A 22,520-nucleotide genomic window follows, 5' to 3' on the forward strand; every position below is an offset into this window, starting at 1 on the left:
AATAATGAACTTGCTCAATACAGGCCAACAACGACCACAAATTAGATCATACAGGGTAAATGCTTTCCTAAAAGTATTACGTTTCATTAGTACCAATTGACAACTATCACTAAGATTGTGGAAGATGCAATACAAGTGGAAACATTTCCCACAGGCACCATGTGAGATAACTGAACAAAAAAAAAATTAATATCTTTTTATAAACTATGCTCCTTTGACTTCATTTAGCAACTGCTTAAAGGCTTAATGAGCTAAAAATGGCCAAAGACTTAATGAAAAAATGTGTTTTCTATCACAATCCCTCTTTTGGCAATACACTTAGATTTGTATTGGCATTAAAGAAATCTTAGTGCAAAATAAGTTTTAATTTAGAAGTGAGAAGTAACAACACAAAACTAGAAATAACAACACACTTTCAGTTCTCCAAAACTGCCTTTGGAATGCTGATCGCTCTTACGAGTTGTTTTGAAACACATGAGAAGTAGGATTTCTGCTCAGAATGTGCACAATAATGAGCACATTTAAAAGTAACAAGTCCAATGTACAGTAGCAGAGTGACATACTATAGGATGATTACGTGGGTCTGGTATTACGTCAGCTCTCTATATCTACTTGGCCAAGTCAGTTTTTCTCTCTGGCTTCAGTGTCCTCATAATTAAAATGAAGGGGTGCAATTAGTCCATCTTTAAGACCTCTTCCGGTCTCAAATTTACGAAGCTAATTCCTTACTCACCAGCTACAATTCTTTCAATGATGACAGATTTTAAATCAAAACGGATGGCATTACAAATGTGAATGTAAAACCTAAGTAAATGCTTGCTGTAAAAGGTAGGAAATCTATTCCTCAAGCTTCTGAGGTTACCACATACAGCAGTCATTCACTCTATACAAGCAGGCAAAATTGTTCCAAATGCATTTAAAGAATCTTTATTTATAGGCTAGTCAGCAAGTAGGCTTTGTTGTGTAACCTAACTAGAAATATGTAATTAATTTACATAGAGATCAATGTGGCTGGTAACATATCTTTCATATAACTATAAAGGCCACATGTACTTTATGTAATATAGCACAAATGAGGATATGACTGTATCAATAAAACAGAGAACCTCAGAGACACACTTTCTCTATGGTAGCAAGTAAGGAACTGAGTTTGATGATATATGACACACAATTTAATTTTTTAATTCAACTATGAAAAAGTCTATAGTCGGCTTATACTTTCTCAGTAGAATTTAAGAACTCCAGAACATCACCTTAAGATCAGGAAGAAAAATTAGTTTACATATAATAAAATCAAATCTTTGTTTTGTGATAATACTAACAATAATAATTTGAAATGTCACATTTTCAAAAAGCAAATGAAAAAGGCACTGATAATTGTTTTAAATCAATATCTAACTCATTTTTATAAAAGGTATATAGCATTTTAAAACTAGGGTCACAAAAGCAGAAAAAGTATATAAACCAGTACCTACATGAAATTCTGGATTATTACATACATCATATATATATTTCACATTATATATTCACAAATATATAATCATATCACAGATAACTAACATCCTGTAACATCAAATCCCAGAATAAAACAGCTGTTATTGCCTGATTAGTATGTACGAAAAAAATTCAAAATGTCTAGTGTATGAGTAAGTACTGCAAAGAACATGAAAATGAATGTCGAATGGAAGGGCTGCAAAGATAATGTTTTGTTCATTTACAAATGACTTTAAAAGAAAGTAAATCTCATATTAAATTCACTTAGGATATAAGATGAATAGAAATAAATATATTGGGTATGTCCTGAAAGATGAACTCTGTGAAAAAAAATATGGCTTGTTTAGCTTTGAAAAACACAATAAACAAATACATTTCAGTTATTTAACAATCCCAGTAACTTGAACCAAATTAGCTGAGGGGAGGAAAATTTAAGTGGACTTATAGATTTTACAAAACATAACTTTACTACTTTAAAAAAAGATGCAATAACGATGCTAACCCAAAGTTGCTTAGAAAAACCCCTGCATTACTGGATAATCATGATTTCCTATCAGTCTATCAAAATATCAGCTTAAGTAACATTGATACTAATAACGGTCCTGAGGCAGATAGTATCATTATTCCTATTTCACAGATAGGAAAGCTGAGGCACATAGAAATTAAGTAACTTGCCTAAGGTTAGTCAAGTAGTTAGTAAAAACTGGGATTTGAACTTAGCCTATGTTCTCCACCACTATAAGGTAGTATGTTAATGAAATGTACCTCCCTTGTTTATTGAACTATTTATTTGCCTTTCAAGAACCTTTCATATATACTATTCCCATATGATGTGAAGGTAAACTTCAGTGGCATACGTATGATTTTACAAATTCTAAATCAAACCAAATTTAAGGCAATGTGACATCTATGAAAAGTCATTAAAGAGAATAAAAAGTATAAGTGAACTCTGAGGTAGTTTTATGTCTTAAGCACATTCTTGAGCACACACTTAAGACTACATACAGTACAGTATTTGCATAGCACAGGATTAAAAATAAAAAGTGTAAAAAGTGTGATTTGTATAAAGAAAAAAGTGGTTGAGAAGTTGAAAACACTGAGAATTATACATTTTATCTTATTACATGACATCTAAAACATTAAGATTTAATGTTTTATATATTATACGCCACTGTGACACAGTAATTAAATAATATTTAATATAAAGTGCCACAATATTAGTCAAACCTGATTAGTCAACACTAAAAATTCACAAATTTCTACCCCATGCTCAATGGGAAGTAAAAGCTTGTGCTGATTTAAGAATGGACGAATTTGAGTAGTAGATACTGAAGAGAAGTAAAGATAAAATGAGTATCAGAATTAGTTAACAAGTGAATACTTAATATGTACTTAAAGACAACAACATAAAACCTTCACTAGTTAAGAGTAGAGTACCCGTGACAAATTTAAACTTCCTCATCTGCTTGGATTTATCTATGTGGGGAAAATACCTTTAAAATCAGTAATATTTTTCAAAGAAAAATACATCTTCACATATAGATTGTTATGGCTAATGAATAATGGACAAACTAGATTAGACATAAATGAAATCCAGTGTTTAAAACTACAAAAAGGCTTAAATTTTTACTGAAGAATTCCCATAATTTCTCTAAAAGCCATAATTTTGTAATAAGTATGTCCAAGTTAATTTGCTCATGAATAATATATCTTTAAAACACATTCTTTGTTAAACAATTGAACTCTAATTAAATCACCAAAGTTTACATCATTTACTTTCTATAAAATTCATTTTATAAACTTTGAGGTATGCGTACAAGTCACAAAGTCTCATTGGTCTATATTTTGATTATATTTGATTTATTCAAGTATAACTAAATCAGTTACAGTACTTGCCAATATTTGTCAAATGATTCTTCCAACAGGAAGAACAATAAGTTTATTTCATGATTTCATTATTACAGCATCAAGTTTTAGGGCAAGGGAAGGCACTTGGTTCCACTCATTTAGCAATACTGATTACATGTCTGTCACTTATACAATGGAACCAAAGTTTAAATGTATAGATGTGTTTGTCCACTTATTTTAAGTAGTTGTTTGAAGGGAAAATAAGTCACAACAAAATCCATTTAGAGTTAATGATTTTTTAAAAATATAAAATTTACATTTAAAATTTATTCTTCTTAAACACGATTTTATTGTTTGATTTCTACAAAACCATGATCAAATGGATGATCACAAACATTTCAACATCATAATTACTACAAATATGAGAATTCCACCACATAGCTAATGTAGACATATATAAATAACAACATTCAGATAGAATGGTAAAAAGCCTTCCACCAAGAATTCTATTTGAAACAAATTGTTCTGAATATACATTTCTTTCCAATTATGAGTAATGTCAAATTCCACACATCCTTCCCCCCAAAAGTGGGATGTTATGGCATAATAAGCATATTTAGCATTTTCAGTTTTTGGTGCTTGACCAGGAAAATAATGAAATTATGTTTCTACATTATTCTGTAAAGAAACAATTATGTGAATTTTAAAACATGTTCTATTGTGCTCAGGATATGCTTTATTCAAAAGGTATAGGAAAGTCAAAACCCTTAAAAGAGATTTGGAAGTAAAAGTAGTTAGGAAAGAGAATGACTGTGTAACATTCTAAACTATATAATTTGCCCATAATTGGGGAGCTTAAAAAGAGAAAAATAAATGAGTTACGAACAGGTTTGGATACATAAAATAAACACAGGGTATATTTGCTTCTTTTTCTTTTTTCTGACTTGAAACAGAAAGAAATCAATAGAAAAGAAAAAGGTGGTTTAAAGCCTTCTATGAGATTATAAGGCTAGTTGTTTCAGAAGACAGACTGAGAACAGAACAACTTGCAACTATTTGTGACGTCAGTGACTCTCAATTAGGGCAGCAGCAAGAAAATATATCATTAAAGTCTTTTAATGTCCAAGTTACAAATTGCTCCTGAATGTCTATGAACAGGCCAAAAGCATTGAAAAAGGAGGAGAAAAAAAGAATTTAAGCTTTAATAAGAACAAGTGAATGATAAAAATATCAGTTTTATCTCAGTGTATTTCTTAAGTCTTGTTATATATTACACATTAACTCTATTATAGCACTACTACAGTAATGAATGTTATTTTAAAAAGAATGCATACTAGATTTTTAAATGAACATTAACTTCTCTTTTTATTGAGAACAAGGCATAGTATAAATAATAAATTGAAACTTAACTTTCTCAGTCAACCTTCCTGGTGTAAGCCTTACTATTAAGACTAAAAAACCCAAACCCAGTCCATTTGTCTAGTTTTGTACTGATAAACTGATTAAACTATGGTGATATGGTTTGGCTGTGTCCCCACTCAAATCTCATCTTGAATTCTCACATGTTGTGGGATGGACCCAGCGGGAGGTAACTGAATAATGGTGACAGGTCTTTCCCATGCTGTTCTTGTGACAGTGAATAAGTCTCATGAGATCTGATGGTTTTACAAGAGGGAGTTTCCCTGCACAAGCTCTCTCTCTTTGCCTGCTGCCATCCATGTAACACATGACTTGCTCCTTGATTCCCACCATGACTGTGAGGCTTCCCCAGCCACGTGGAACTGTAAGTCCATTATAAACCTCTTTCTTTGGTAAATTGCCCGGTTTCTGGTATGTCTTTATCAGCAGCATGAAAATGAACTAATACAGTAAATTGGTACCATTAGAGTGGGGCGCTGCTGAAAATATACCTGAAAACGTGGAAGCGACTTTGGAACTGGGTAACAGGGAGGGGTTGGAACAGTTTGGTGGGTTCAGAAGAAGACAGGAAAATGTGGGAAAGTTTGGAACTCCATAGATAGTTGTTTAATGGCTTTGACCAAAATGTTGATAATGATATGGACAATGAAATCCAGGCTGAGGTGGTCTCAGACGGAGATGAGGAACTTGTTGGGAACTGGAGTAAAGGTGACTCTTGTTATGTTTTAGCAAAGAGACTGGCAGCATTTTGCCCCTGCCCTACAGATCCGTGGAACTCTGAACTTAAGGGAGATGATTTACGGTATCTGGTGGAAGAAATTTCTAAGCAGCAAAGCATTCAAGAGGTGACTTGGGTGCTGTTAAAGGCATCCGGTTTTGAAAGGGAAACAGTGCATAAAAGTTTGGAAAATTTGCAGCCTGACAATGAGATTGAAAAGAAAAACCTATTTCCTGAGGAGAAATTCAAGCTGGTTGTAGAAATTTGTACATGTAATGAGGAGCCAAATGTTAATCACCAAGACAATGGTGAAAATGTCTCTAGGCCATGTCAAGAGACCTTTGCAGCAGCCCCTCCCATCACATGCCTGGAGGCCTAAGAGGAAAAAATGGCTTCATGGGCCAGGCCAGGGCCCCCTGCTGTGTGAAGCCTAAGGATGTGGTGCCCTGCATCCCAGCTGCTCTAGCCATGGCTAAAAGGGGCCAAGGTACAGCTCATAACTCATAACGTTATGAGTTATTAAATGCAAGTTTAAACACAATATTTCAATTTTCAAATTGGCAAAAGAGTTTTGATAAGATAATATTCAGTGCTCTTGAGGCTTTGAAGAAAACAGACATGCTTGTTTATAAACTGCCATTGGATGTGTAAGTCGATATAACTTTGGGGGCACTTTGAGACTTCCACATCCAGAAAGAATAAAAGAGGTTATCCCGGTTTTTCCTGAGTACAGCTAAAAATCTTAGACATAATATATAAAACCAACATAGCAAGACTCTGAAAGCTGGAACGAAGAAAGCAGACTGGCTAGAGAACTTGGGACCAAAGAGCAAAATGGCAGAGTCCCCTGGGTTTTCTTTTTGTATCATATATCTCCAAGTAAGAGCCATAGAAACTGACAACTGGAAACACCAATGGTCTCAGATTTTAAAAACCCCAACAAAAACCTACACGCTCTAGCAAAAGACCATATCTTAGCAAGATAGAAAACTTTGAGACAATAATTGCTCTACTTCTACCAAGCATCACTGAAAAAATTGAGGTCTCACTTCAGTTTAAATGGCATAACCAAAATCACTGAAAATGCTATCACAGACATGCAAAACCATTTTTGTACTACATTTATTTAAAAACATATTATAAAACAGTATATAAAACAATATTGCATTTTATGAAAATGTATGTGCATGCCCATACAAAGAAAAAAGGACAAAGAATCATACACCAAGGGTATTTATCATTATTTGGTAGAGGGATTATAGTAACTTTTCTTTTTCATATCTTCCAAATTATCAACAGTGAACATGAATTATTAGACTGGGGATATTAAAATATGACAAATGGAAAAATAATTTACAAAACAATTTATGAAGACTATTTACAATTTATGACCAAGTCCTCAAAAGCAATTGCAACAAAAACAAAAATTGACAAATGGGACTTCATTAAACTAAAGAGCATGTACCCAGCAAAAGAAATTATCAACAGAGTGAACAAACAAACTATAGAATGGGAGAGAATATTCACAAACTATGCATCCAAAAAACAACTAATATCCAAAATCTATAAAAAACTTAAACCAACAAGAATAAAACCATCCCATTAAAAAGCAGGCAAAGATTTGAACAGATGCTTCTCAAAAGAAGATACATAAGTAGCCAACAAACATATGAAAAAATGCTGAACATCACTAATCAGAGAAATGCAAATCAAACCACAAAGAGACACCATCTCACCCCAGTCAGAACGGCTATTATTAAAAATGCAAAAAATAACAGATGCTGTCCAGGCTGCAGAGAAAAGGGAATGCTTATACACTGTTGGCAGGAATGTGAATTAGTTCAGCCACTGTGGAAAGCAGTTTGGAGATTTCTCTAAAAACTTAGAACAGAGCTACCATTCAACCAAGCAATCCCATTACTGGGTATATATCCAAAAGAAAAGAAATCATTGTACAAAGAAAAAAAAATGCACTCCCATGTTCATCACAGCACTACTCATGATAGCAAAGACATGGAACCTAGGTGCCAATCAACGGTGGACTGGATTAAAAAAATGTGGTACATATACAGCATGGGATACTATGCAGCCATAAAATCAAAGAAAATCATGTCATTTGCAGCAACATGGATGCAGCTGGAGGCCATTATCCTAAGTGAATTAACACAGAAATAGAAATCCAAATATTACATGAACTCACAAGTAGGAGCTAAATCTGGCATACACAAGGAGATACAGATGGGAACAATAGACACTGGAGACTCTAAAAGGAGGGAGGAAGGGAGGAAATGGCTGAAAAACTTCCTATGGGGTACTATGTTCACTATCTGAGTGACAGGATAAATAGAAGACCAAACCTCAGCATCATGCGATATACCCTTGTAATGAACCTGTGCATATACTCCGTGAATCTAAACTAAAAATGGAAATTTGAAAAATAATATTCACAAACATAAAATACAAATTACAAAAACCATAATAGGTGCAGTTTTATTTTATATCTAAGAAGCTAACACAGATAAAAAGACATGAAAAATAGTTAAAGTAATAATAGAAAATAACAACAACTGTCATGGTGAAGATTTTCCTGTAGCACAAATCACTATATGATATGGTTTGGCTGTGTCCACAGCCAAATCTCAACTTGAATTGTATCTCCCAGAATTCCCATGTGTTGTGGGAAGGACCCAGTGGGAGGTAATTGAATCACAGGGGCTGGTCTTTCCCACGCTATTCTCGTGATAGTGAATAAGTCTCAAGAGATCTGATGGGTTTATTAGGGGTTTCTGCTTTTGCTTCTTCCTGATTTTTCTCCTTCTGCTGCCACGTAAGAAGTGCCTTTTGCCTCCTGCCATGATTCTGAAGCATCCTCAGCCTATGGAACTGTAAGTCCAATTAAATCTCTTTTTCTTTCCAGTTTCGGGTATGTCTTTATCAGCAGCATGAAAACAGACGAATACAGTAAATCAGTCCCCGTAGAGTGAGGCATTGTTGAAAAGATACCCGAAAATGTGAAAGCGACTTTGGAATTGGTTAACAGGCAGAGGGTTGGAACAATTTGGAGGGCTCAGAAGAAGACAGGAAAATGTGGGAAAGTTTGGAACCTCCTGGAGACCTGTTGAATGGCATTGACAAAAATGCTGATAGTGATATGAACAGTAAGGTCCAGGCTGAGGTGGTCTCAGATGGAGCTGAGGAACTTGTTGGGAACTCGAGTAAAGGTGACTCTTGTTATGTTTTAGCAAAGAGACTGGCAGCACTTTGGCCCTGCCCTAGAGATTTGTGGAACTTTGAACTTGAGAGAGATTATTTAAGGTATCTGGTGGAAGAAATTTCTAAACAGCAAAGCATTCAAAAGGTGACTTGGGTGCTGTTAAAAGCATTCCATTTTAAAAGGGAAACAGAGCATAAAAGTTCAGAAAATTTGCAGCTTGACGATGCAGTAGAAAACACATTTTTTGAGGAGAAATTCAAGCCTGTTGCAGAAATTTGCATAAGTAGCAAGGAACCTAATGTTAATCCCCAAGCCCATGAGGAAAATGTCTCCAGGCCACGTCAGAGACCTTCACTGCAGCCTCTCTCACCATAGGCCTAGAGGCCCAGGAGGAAAAAGTGGTTTCATGGGCCAGTCCCCCCATATTGTGTGCAGCCTAGGGACTTGGTGCCCTGTGTCCCAGCCACTCCAGCAGTGGCTGAAAGGGCCCAACATAGAGCTCAGGCTGTGGCTTCAGAGGTGCAAGCCCCAAGCCTTGGCAGCTTCCATGTGGTGTTGACCCTGTGAGTGCATAGAAGTTAAGAATTGGGGTTTGGGAACCTCTACCTAGATTTCAGAAGAAGTATGGAAATGCCTGGATGCCCAGGCAAAAGACTGCTGCAGGGGTGGGGCCCCCATGGAGAACCTCTGCTAGGGCACTGTGGAAGGGAAATGTGGGGTTGGAGGCCCCATACAGAGCCCCTATTCTGGCACTGCCTAGTGGAGCTGTGAGAAGAGGGCCACCGTCCTCCAGACCCCAGAATGATGACAGATCCACCAACAGGTTGCGCCAGGAAAAGCTGCAGACACTCAACACCAGCCTGTGAAAGCAGCCGGGAGGCAGGATATACCCTGCAAAGCCACAAGAGTGGAGCTGCCCAAGACCATGGGAACCCACCTCTTGTATCAGTGTGACCTGGATGTGAGACCTGGAGTCAAAGGAGATCATTTTGGAGCTTTAAAATTTGACTGCCCCGCTGGAATTTGGACTTGCATGGGGCCTGTAAACCCTTTGTTTTGGCCAATTTCTCCTATTTGGAATGGCTGTATTTATCCAATACCTGGACCCCCATTGTATCTAGGAAGTTAACTAACTTGCTTTTGATTTTACAGGCTCATAGACAGATGGGACTTGCCTTGTGTCAGATGAGACTTTGGACTGTGGACTTTTGGGTTAATGCTGAAATAAGACTTTGGGGGACTGTTGGGAAGGCATGATTGCTTTTGAAATGTGAGGACATGAGATTTGGAGGGGCCAGGGGCAGAATGATATGGTTTGGCTGTGTCCCCACTGAAATCTCAACTTGAATTGTATCTCCCAGAATTCCCATGTGTTGTGGGAGGGACCCAGGGGGAGGTAACTGAATCATGGGGGCCGGTCTTTCTTGTGCTATTCTCATGATAGTGTGTAAGTCTTACAAGATCTGATGGGTTTATCAGGGGTTTCCGCTTTTGCTTCTTCCTCATTTTTTTCTTGCCACCGCCATGTTAAGAAGTGCCTTTTGCCTCCTGCCATGATTCTGAGACCTCCCTAGCCATGTGGAACTGTGATTCCAATTAAACCTCTTTTCCTTCTCAATTTCGGGTAGGTTTTTACTAACAGCATGAAAAGGGACTAATACACTATAAAAGGAGAAATGGTCCTCTGAGCTACTTTTCCAAAGGAAATTTAGGATTATAGCAATGTTGAAAAGTTTTCTTAACCCTCTCTGCTGGCATCAGACTTCCCACTTTTCTGCCTGACCACATGTTCCCATTTTTAAGTAGTAGCTCTACATTTCCCCACTGAAGTTTTCCTTGTGACTACGCAAAACCATATTAGTTTTTTTGCTTCTCAGAACTCACATAACAATCTGAGTAACACTTACGTTTACTCAAATATTTTTTTACAAAAAATTTTTTTCTAGTTAATGATATTATGTCTCCCTCCTATGAATCCCTAGAGTACACTGTTTGTTGGTACCTCTCATATTTTGCATCTTCCAGCTACTTCTGTGCTTGTTTTATCTGTTCAACTAGACTGTGAATCTCCTATGGTAAGGGAATATCTTATTCATCTTTACGTACCATGAAATGCCTAGCACAATATGTTGTACTTGGTTAATAAATAGTCTTGTTCCATTAGGTGAGCAGTAAGATTATGAGCATTTCAAATCAGGTATCTCACCTTCTGCTTCTAATACTTATAGTACATAGCTTAGGTCTAGACACAGTGATGTATAATGTATACTTATTGACTCCTATTTACTGAAATAGCCTCAAGAAATATGTTGTAGAATGCATGATATCTAATGCTGGAAACAAAAAATTTGAAACAAATAAGTGAAAGAGCAGGTAAAGTAGTCCTTAACTTTAGTCTCATAAATAAACAAAATACATTGAAAATTTATACATGAAAAAAGTTCAGTAATTGGATTTAGAATTTAGAATTCAAGGTGCTATGGTTTCAATGTTTGTGTCTCCCCACAATTCATTTGTTGACATATGCAATACAAAAGTATTACCTCTTAATACCTCAAGTAGACCCACAATGCAAAAGTTATTAAGAGGTAGGGGCTTTGGAAGATGGTTAGATAACAAGAGCTCTGCCCTCATAAATGGGATTAGTGCTCTTAAAAAAGGGTTCAAGGAAGCTTTTTTATCCCCTTGCCTGTATGAGGACACACAGAAGGTGCCACTTATGAGGAAAGGGTCCTCATCAGACACTGAATCTGCTGGCACCTTGATTTTGGACTTTCCAGCCTCTAGAATTGTGAGCAATAAATTTCTATTGTTTATTATAAGTTACCCAGTCTAAGGTATTTTTTCATAGCAGCCCAAATGGACTAAGAAAGTAAAGAAAAAAAATTAACAATAAAAAAAATGTTATGCAACCAGGTTTTCAATAAGCTAAATAAAAATTAGAATTGAAAGTCATAAAATTCCTTAACTGGAGAACTAAAACATCATGCTTGTGAAGATTTAGCCACTGAAATGTTTATAGGTAAGGGGATGGTGTGAAATGACTTACTCTATAACCATCTTTTATATAAACAAAAACTGTGAATAATAAAAAAGTAAGAAAATCTCTACAAATACAACCTTCACAACTGTAATAACTGCCCCCTTTACCCCCTAAACAAACACAAAATACAAATAACCACTCTACTATGCTTACAGGTGCCTTTCATGCATGTCATCGTTGAAGAACATAACTCAATGACCCGAACAGCAAAAGTTCCTGGTTCCTCTGCTGGCACTGTCAAAATGGAAATCTAAAAAGCAAAAATAAAGTATCAGACACAGCTGTTAGATCTCATTTTCATTCTTCTAACATTAAAATGCTGTTAACTTCTAAACTGAGTATCTTTTTCAAACATCATGTCTGAAAAAAATATGGCTTGTAAGGATTTAATTTTGGAACAGAATTTGAAACATATTTATGTATCATTTTCATAATTCTCATAGATAATAACTTTTAAATATCTTTAATATTTATTAAATCCTTACTTACTATAGGTTTCTTACTATAAACTTACTACAGGTTGAGTAACCATTATCTAAATTCCAAAATACTCCAAAATCCAAAATTTAGCACCGACATGATGCTCTAAGGAAATGCTCATTGGAGCATGTTAGATTTTAGATATTCAGATTAGGGACATTCAACTAGTACACTCCAAAATCTGAAAAAATCTGAAATCCCAAACACCTCTGGTTTCAAGCATTTCAGATAAGGGATACTCAATCTGTATTTTTCAAAGGATACAATTATGACTTCTTAGTTCTGAAATATGTGTATTTTGCTGTTTGAAATCAGACCATATTAAATCAATCTTGATTACTCATAATGGCTAAAAACAGCAGTTAGCATTAATAATTAAAGATGTTACCCATTCCAATTATATTGAAGCAAGCAGTCAAACTATATATATATCAAAACATTTGAAAACAATTTTTAAAGACTCCATTAATAAAACTAGAAATTCAGAATCAAAAGTAAAATGTAAAATTATTCTTAAGTACTATTTATTTATATGTAGTATGCTATCCTAGGCATTAATGATACGCTAGATGGCTTTATATTTTAAAACTTTAAATGACCTTCAGGTCAATGTTTTTTTTTGTTTTTTTTTTTTTTTTTGAGATGGAGTCTCACTCTGTTGCCCAGGCTGGTGTACAGTGGTACAATCTCAGCTCACTGCAACCCCCGCCTCCTGGGTTCAAGTGATTCTCATGCCTCAGCCTCCCAAGTAGCTAGGATTACAGGCATGCATTACTACACCTGGCTATTTTTTTTTTTTTTGTATTTTTTGTAGAAATGGGGCTTCACCATGTTGGCCAGGCTGATCTCCAACTCATGACCTCAAGCAATCCAGCCACCTTGGCTTCCCAAAGTATTGAGATTATAGGCGTGAGCCACTGCGCCCGACCCAGGTCAATGTTTCTTTGTAGATCCTAAAGTTTCAATACTAATCCTCAAACTAATATTCATCTGAGGAAATTTTATCCTCTCACATAGAAAATACTTGTCAAAAGGGAAAAGCCCATTTGCACTTTGCCCTATAAGTGCTATGCTACATTTTGACTGAGAATGTCACAGTGATGGCCCAAAGAGGAAACACCTAAAACAAATTTTACATAGAAATTATTTTGATAACCATGACTATCCTACTTTTATGTGCATTTCTAGCCTCAAAATGTCTCAAAAATTTATTTCTCCATGTTCCTCTTAACTCCCTTTGTTCATGATAGAAAATGTACTTTGGCATTAAAGAGATAGAAGCCACTAAGACATTGAATGTTGAACAATAGTTAAATGAGTACAACTAAAAACATGACCATAATTGGAAAAGTACCTTAATGACTGCAATAACATGTAAGGACGTCTTTTGATTTCTACGACTATCACCTTTTTTTTTTTAACTGAGATGCAATTAGTAACCTCCTACTACAGTACCTCCGTCACCTGAACTCTGAGAAGTTAACTGTCTCAAACCTCATAGAGATGATAAAAAACCATCAAAAAAGAATTCCCTCAACCCTCTACTATCACTTCCATAAAATTTACCTGGACCCACACCTATTCTTCCCTCTAAGTCTCATCATTCTATCTATACTGCACAACTCAAAAAAAAAAAAAGAAAAAAAAAAAGAGAGAAGATGAAAGAAGAAAACTCTCTACAGGGAACAAAGAAAGACAATCAGGACACACACTTTAGACTGATCACTCTGAAGGATATGTAGAAGGCAGATTTGAAGTAGACAAGATGAGAGGCAGGGTGACCAATTACAAGTCAGAGGTGATGAGAACCTAACTGAACAGTGAGAAAAGGCAGATCAAAGCAACTTTTAGGAAGTACATTGAAGGACGTGAAGTTGAAGAGATGTCAGAGAGGGAAGGAAGAAGTTGCCATTGAAAGGATGTCAGAACTGTTCCCAGAAGTAGGGAACACTGGATGAGGAGCAGTTTGTGGAGGGAAGATGGTGAGTTCAGTTCTGAGTGTATTCCATTTGACAGATGTCCAGCAGGAAGCTTAGCATGTGGGCCAGACACTCCTGGGAGATACAGAAGTGTCTGTCACCAAGATTTATGCAGAATTGATATCATGAGACTACACAGAGTCATCTAGTGAGTATGCCCAAAGCAAGGCATACTGTGGGCTGAGGGAAAAATACTGAGGAGCCCTGATATTTAAGGACTGGGTAAAGGAACAAGAGCCCACTAAAGAAGTAGAGAGGAAACAGCCAGAGTCATGAGGGGAACCAAAGGGCAGTTTCATGGAAGCCAAGAGTACAAACTTATATAATATATAATTATATAATATATTATATAATACGTATTATATATAGTATATAATATGTATTACATATTATATATAGTATATAATACATACTATATATAATACATAATATGTAATACGTAATACATAATATATAATACATGAAATTAATATATAATACATATAATATATACTATATATTAATTATATAATACATATAATATATAATATATTAATTATATAATAACATAATATATAATACATTACATAATATATTATATATTAATTACATAATATATAATATATATAACAGCATATATGAAGTATATATAATATATAAATAAGTATATATAATATATAGCATATATATCTAATATATATATTATATATATACTATATATTATAAAGTATATATATACCAGCATATATGAAAGTATATACTAGCATATATGAAATAGAAAGTAGTATATATATATATACTAGCATATATGAAATAGAAAATGCTTGTGTGTGCGTGTGTGTGTGTGTGTGTGTGTGTGTGTGTGTGTGTGTCTGTGTCTGTTTAAAAAAAATGTTGCCAGCAGCAGTGGGGAGAGGCTGAAGATACAGGAGAGAGAGCAGGCAATAAAGGGTGGTGTGTGTGCGTGTACAAGAGCACTTGTCAAAAGGGCTGGCTTTGAACAAGGAGGGGAGCCTCCTGATTCATTCCTGGGCTGAAGTACACACGTGGTGGTGGGGCAGGAAGTCAAGGACTACTGCGCGTGGTGGACAGCCTCACTATTTTCAGCGAAGCAAGGTTGGTGGGGGAGGGGCAGCAGGTTGAGAGGAGCAGGGGATAAGCAGGGTGGGTAAAATCAGGAAGACTTGGATTAGGCACTGAGGGAAAAGGGAAAGGGGCTGTCTGAGGCCAGTGGAAGAACTGACTGGTGGTGTGTGCTGAAGGTCCAGCTGAATAACGCTGGCACCCTTGTGTCTGTGGCATGGTTAGTCTGTCTGGTTGCATGGTTTTCTTAAGCAGCCATCAGTGATCCAGATGAAGATTACAGCCTGACTCAGGAATGGGATCTTCCTCTGTGGGTGTAGTGAAAGGACATGACAACATGGGTACTGAGAGTGTCAGACAAAGAGCAATTCAGAAGATTTACTATGGGGTCTAGCACAGGGAAAAGGAAAAGGGCAGAAGGCAGATGATAAACTGAAAAGAAACAGGGAATGAGGAATTGTACGTCTCTTAACAGACTGGGTGGGGGTAAGAGAATGAAAGAGCTGGAAGGATAGGAGCAGATTAATGCCACTATAGATTCATGACCTTCAGACTCAACTGGGCCATTAATATTGCCCAGCAATTTGACCATGAGACAGTACACTCTCCAACTCCTTATGGTGATTATTTTACATCTTTCCTTGAGCTTCTACCCATCCACATTTGCACACCCCCATTCTCAAAAGATGACCTCACCTTGTTTATAATTTAAAGAATAAATGTAACCCATAAGATGTGAATTCCCAAATCTACAAATGCATTCACCCTCTGGTTTCAACGTGTCTCCCATCCCATCCAAGGGCAACATTTTTGCCTGTTCTCTGAATTTTAGCCTCCCCAGCCTTTGCCTGGACCTTGATCTATCAATTATCCTCCTTCTTACTTCGTTATCTTCAACCTCTCCCTCTCTACTGGCTTCATCCCATCAGCTGAAATATATACTAATCTTTTAAAGTAAAGAAACACCCTCTTCATCTCCACATCCCTCTTCAAAGACCAGTTCCTCTCTCTTACTCTTCACAGCTTAGCTTCCTCCAAGAGTTATCTCTATTTGCTCTCTTCACTCTTCTGCCTCCCTGGCACTCTTTGATCCACTCACAAACCTCATAGCTTACTGGGAGATACAGACAATAAACCAGTAATTGTAGGACAGTGGAGTAAGTAATATAATAGCTGCTGTACTATTTCTTCTACCCGCCCATGCTCATACTTGTCACTCTGAACTACAGTTGCTACTTATCAGTATCTGTATTCTCCAGACCGTAAGCTATTTGAGAGCAGAGATGCTATCATAGTGACCACTATCTCCTTAGAACCCAGCAACACTGGCTGGAAGGTAAAAGGCACTCATTGTTTGCTGAATGGCTTAATGAAAGTATTTATGCTTACACATATAACAAGTATATTTGGGGGACTTTTTTGTATATAACGTTCATTTATTAGCAATAAAAATTGTTACAAATGAATTGACTTTATCCACTCACATATTTCTTTTACATAAGAAGCAGCTTTCAACTTAAAGAACTTTAGGAGCCTACTTTTAGCAGTGGCATACAGAACTGAAAGTCACGCCTACTGAGTAAGGTGAGTTTATCAATCACTATAAAATATGGTCAGAAGGAGAACTGGTACCCTGGAATTTAAGAGGTCTGACTGAGGAAAAATCAGAGGCATAATGACATTCCTCTATGGAACTGGGGGTAAGGAGAAAGAAGAGGGTACTGAAATGAACAATGGTGGTAAGTAAATACCATAACCGGGGACATGTGTGGAAATACATTCAAACCAGGCCTAACAGTGGACTTATAGTCATTGCCATAGGGTTGGCTACTGTCTTTTCCTACCAGATTTTTAAATGTATTCTCTGGGGATTCTCTTTTTCTCCCCATAACAATGTATTTTCAATTTCACAGAAATAATCATCAAAATCTAGTATTTAGTCTGATTTTCCTAAAATAAATCTGTTATATAAGATGCAACTATTTGTTCCACTGGATGGAAATCCTTAAGAAACCAATGCCATTACATTATTGCCATCATGTATTTTTTTAAAAACACATTTAAAAAATATGACAAGCTGAGTACCCTAATCCAAAAATCCGAAATCCAAAATGCTCTAAACCCACCCCCCGCCCCAAAAAAACCCCTAAAATCCAAGCACTTATGACCCCAAGCATTTTGGAGAAGGGATACTCAAACTTTAGTACATATAGCTTAATACGCTGTATTTTGCCAGTATTGATTTATACATATTACCATGTAGATTAAGTTAGTAACAATGTTATTAGCACAGGACTGAATGAGGTTTCATCTCACACCTGTTAGGATGGCTATTATTAACAAGACAAGACATAACAAGTGTTGATGAGGATACAGAAAAAAGCAGACCCTTTACACTGTTGGTTGGAATGCAAATCAAATCTATACAAACATTACGGAAAACAGTATGGAGGTTCCACAAAAAAATTAAAAATAGAATTATCCTATGATCCACCACTCCCATGTTCAATGCAGCATTATTCATTGCAGCGAAGATTTGGAAACAACCTAAGTGTTCATCAATGGAAGAATGGGTTTTTTAAAAATGGGGTGTGTGTATGTATAAACAATGGAATATTATTCAATCTTTAAAAAAGAAGAAAGTCCTACCATTTGCAACAACATAGATGAACCTGGAGGACATTATGCTAAGTGAAAGAAGCCAGACACAAAAAGGAAAGTACTGCATGATTGCACTTATATGTGAAATACAAAAAGCTTCAAATTCATAGAAGCAGAGAGTAAAACGGTGCTTGCCAGGAGCTAGGCAAAATGGGGAGACGTTGGTCAAAGGGTACAAACTTTCAGTTACACAAAAAGAATAAGTTTTAGAGATCTAATGTACAGTACAAGACTACAGTTAATAATATGGTATTATATATTTAAAATTTGCTGAAAGTAGATCTTAAGTGTTCTCACCACAAAAAAAGGTAACTATGTAAAGACATATGTTAATTAGCTTGAGTGTAGTGATTAGTTCACCATGTATATATATACCGAAACATCTTCATATATACAACTTTTATTAAAAATATATAGGACTGAATTTACCTGTTGATCTGAATCTGTTTTTAGGACAGATCTATCTGTAATCAGCACTGCCCTGGAGATCTGCCTGTAATGCACAAAACAGTGAAGCAGTAATTCTGATTCCATGGATAAGTTTCGTTTATAGTTATATAACCACCAGAAGGCACGTTTCAAAGATTTAAGTCAGGATAAAAGTGTCACCTCCCAAAACCAAGTCAAGTTCGGCTTTAATCTTTCCTTGGCTCATGAAAGAAGAATGCCTGACCTACAGACAAACCCCAGCTGAAGCAAAGGAGTTGAAATTATGCTAGGCTTCCCTAAAACCAGACCCTGTAAGTGAAGTAAGATATTGAATATATCTTTGGTTTGGCATTTATTTGCATGTTACTTGAAGAACAGAATTACACAGGAATGTCAATAAAATTACCTTCGCTTGCTAATGGGTGGAGGGGGCCTTACCTGTATTGCACACGTGAGCACATGTTCTCAGGAAAGTAACTGTCCTCCACGAGGAAATGCTCAGAGATTATTCTCTGACCAAACTGATCTATAATTGCTTTACATCTATAAAGAAGATAAGCATACCATAAAAGTTCATATTAATGATTAAATAATTGAGAAAATGTAATCGGCTACCAATTTTGAATCTAAAATGAATTTCACGTGAAGACAAGATTTAAAACTTGCCTACAATTCCATGTTTTCTGACACAAAACTGACAGTAAATGACAGAATATATATTCTTGTTGCTATTTTGAGGGCTTTTAAAGTACAAAATGAACATGGAATACAACTTAAACATGTATTTTGAATGCCATTAATAAGAATAAAGTCAGGATAAGAATTATAGTAAACCATAAATTTCCTAATATTTAGGAACATAAAAGCATTCCCTTTGTTTAGAAAACAGGCTTTTTTTTCCCCCCTTCACAGCTCTAAGAAAAGAAAGAGAGAAAAATTGATTAAATACCTTGCTATACCATTCAGAGCCTGTAAAGGCCTTTTACGAGGTTTTTATTTTTCTGTTAAATGTTGGTTTCTCTTTTGTCCAAGAATAGCTATATGGTCACGTGTTGGATAATGTTTGAAACAGAAAAATGTGATAGAGCTTCTTTTAATATCTGTTTCTACTTTACTTCAAAGGATGATCATAGAAAGATTTCTTTGAAGTGTTGTTTCCAAATAAGGAAAACACTTATGCACGGACATTATCAGGTCTCTGTCATCTGATATGTGTTGGAACAATGAATCATATAGAACCCTCCATTGACCTTCTTTCAATGTGTCTAGATAAAAGGATGAAAATTAGAATCCATCTCCTTGCAGTGCCACAAGTTATAAATGTACTTTATAGGGCTCATTATCCAAACTAATGGACTAAGGGCAACATCCTTGAAATGGACTTACCAGCATTGACAAAGCCAGTATGCAATATTTCAGGAACTATATGCAAATGACTGTGTGTTTGCTATATCTTTTGATTATGGAAATATCAATTTATTTGTGTCACAGCTTCTCCTTTGGGGAACAGAATTATTTTATTAGAAATGAACTTATGTGTTGCCCCTCATAAGATGCAAGCAAATTAATTCCAAAAGCATACTGTAAAATATACTGGTATAAGTTAAAATCTGTTCATTCACTTTAAAAATAAGCCATATAAGTGATATTTTCCAGGAATAAAGGCATTAAAAATAAAATGACTAACACTCAAGACCAATAGTGAGAGGAATTTAATTTGTATTTCCTAAAGGCAGATTATAATATGCTGGTATTTTTTAATAAATGGCATCCCACTGTTGTAAGGATAGTCTATGATGTCTAGTGATGTTACATGTACATAATAGATATTTTAACCAATTAACCACCTTTTAATATAACATTTGTAATATTACGTTAATATTTACATGATTTTTTTCCATCTCATCTCCACCTTCTTTCTCTTCTACACTTCTGTTTCTATACATACCTCCTCATATTTCATTGAACTAGAGCTCTTGCCTTATAAAATACTTAAGAAAATAGATCTGAAGTATTTACATCTGATATTCTCCAAAATAATGTTTTAAAAACTGAAAATATAAGTAATTCACTCAGTCTTCTATTTTAAAACACTCATATACCATTTGAAACACAAAGTGCTTCAGGCAATTGAGAAGAGAAATCTGCTGTCATTAAACATCAATCTCTATTTGTCCTGTAAGCACTGACAAATCTTTTTCTTACCTTTAATTCAGAGACTATGTAAAGTCAAGAGGAAATAACTGGGCAGAAAAAAGGGGTTGTTAAATTTCTATATCTTGATAGGGGCTTAGGTTATACAGATTTATCATTTGTTAAAACTCAGTTAAGAAGCACTTAAGATTTGGACCCTTCACTGTATATAAATTTACATCAAAAGAAAAACACTTAACAAATATTGAGCTCCAGGTAATAATATGCAAGCTGGAAGTATTTAGGGGAAATTTTACTGACATCTGCAATTCACAGTCAAATGCATTAAAAAGATGACTCGATACATGGATAGAGGGGTTAATATTTGGGTAGACGTGTGACTGAACAAGTTTATTAAAATGTTATAGAATCCAGGAGGTGGATATACAGGTGTTCTCTTGAAATTCCTTCCATGTCAGTATAAGTTTGAAAATGTTCATCATAAAATGTTAAAATAAAACTGGGGGAGGGGGTCAGTGTTAATATAAATCTCAGACCTGAGTGTAAGTCTTTAAAAAGGGTTCCCATTTAAACTGTATTATTAAACCTGGCCCTCAAGCTTTGTAGGCTTCTAAACATGAACGAGGTTGTTTTGGTGGTAGCCATACCTTTGGTGACAGACATTTGTTTCAAAAGTTATGATATTAGAAAGAACTAATGGAGATCACTCAAAAGGCAAGTATGGGGGTTTGGGAGTTAGGGAGCTCAACCATACCAGGAGAAGATACTAATACATGTGCCTATTTATGCTGATGCTTCTAAAGAAACGGTGATTCTCAGAGCAGGAGGAGGAAAAGGAAGCAAATCAGAATCACACCTGGGGGACTTTTTGAAATTATAAAGTACCCCTGGAGATTCTGATAAGCTCCCAAATCCCAGGAAAAAAATCACTGTCAAGCGTGCCACTGCTACTGTTGTATCTCTTATGTTGTGCTAGGTGGAGAAAAATCAAGGGCTATTGGTACAGATAAAATATTTGTTTCTGCAGAAATTGAGGTGATGGTCACATATGCCCAAGTCTCAGTCTGGTAGATGATAATAACATGACTCACCTGATAATATCACGCTGAAGTACTAAGACTCTAGGCTTAAGCAAAACTGCTCAAATCAAGACATGTTTAAGCAAGTGATAAGATATGTTTTCCTCTCAGACATTTAACTTACTGTCATATATTCAGCATAATTGGGAAAACAATGAATAAAAAAACATTGATTTTAGATCTAAATTTAGTCTTTGTATTATAAAGATTCATATAAAAAATTAGATGACATTTAATTAACAGAAAGCAGCAAAATAAACAGTGCTGCCAGAGTCATGAAAATACCCCTCCCACATAAACCTGAGGAAGGCAGGAAAGATTAAACCACGTAAGATTTAGTTGAGGGCCTTGCTGAGCCTCATAAATAGTAACTTGAGGAGGAACGTAACAGGTGTCTCCAGTTACAGGGACACAATGACCAAGCTGACCATACAAAACACTCAAGCCAGACAGAACATTTCTAGAGCTAAGCTTTCTAAATCAACAAATCACAAGTTATTCAGTTATTGGTTCAACGATATAAGTGTGTAGATAGCAAAATGATGATGAGGAAGAAAATAGTAAGATGAAAACTCAAAATCTGGAATTTGGCCCAGAAGAGGAAAAATAACACTAAAACAAGTATTCAATCTCTGTGATCTTCAGAATGAATATACCAACTAATTTTATGATAAAGAAAGCAGAAATCACATATGGAATAATTTAAAGGAAAATGTACTAAGGAAATTAGAAGATTCTCAATCACTGAAGAAAACAAAATAATTTTCCCTAGTCACTATGCCCTTCTGAGCTTTCTCAAACACATTAGTTCAAATGCTACCTCATCCATAAAACCATTTCAAATGCTTCCCACTCATTTTTCTTGGGTGAAAAACACTCTACTAGTTCTAAACACCATTAGCAGGCAAATAACTTCAAATCTATAGTTTTAGGCTCTGAC

General features: G+C 35.6%; 1 protein-coding gene and 1 non-coding gene across 9 annotated transcripts in view; both read right to left on the minus strand.

Moving 5' to 3' along the window:
• CHM (CHM Rab escort protein) overlaps window positions 1-22,520 on the minus strand; it is a 186,379-nt gene that overhangs the window by 21,119 nt on the left and 142,740 nt on the right. For all 8 annotated transcript variants that reach the window (NM_000390.4, XM_047441793.1, NM_001362519.1 and 5 more), the window contains 3 exons: window positions 18,786-18,890; window positions 18,348-18,411; window positions 11,890-11,986 (listed from right to left, as the gene is read on the minus strand). In NM_000390.4, the coding sequence (NP_000381.1) occupies window positions 11,890-11,986; window positions 18,348-18,411; window positions 18,786-18,890 (266 nt within the window). The remainder of the gene's footprint in view (window positions 1-11,889; window positions 11,987-18,347; window positions 18,412-18,785; window positions 18,891-22,520) is intronic.
• MIR361 (microRNA 361) lies at window positions 21,338-21,409 on the minus strand. Its single transcript, NR_029848.1, has one exon. It is a non-coding gene; the product is annotated as a microRNA 361 (primary transcript).

Source organism: Homo sapiens, chromosome X (genome assembly GCF_000001405.40).
Source record: "Homo sapiens chromosome X, GRCh38.p14 Primary Assembly".
NCBI classification, from domain to species: domain Eukaryota; kingdom Metazoa; phylum Chordata; class Mammalia; order Primates; family Hominidae; genus Homo; species Homo sapiens.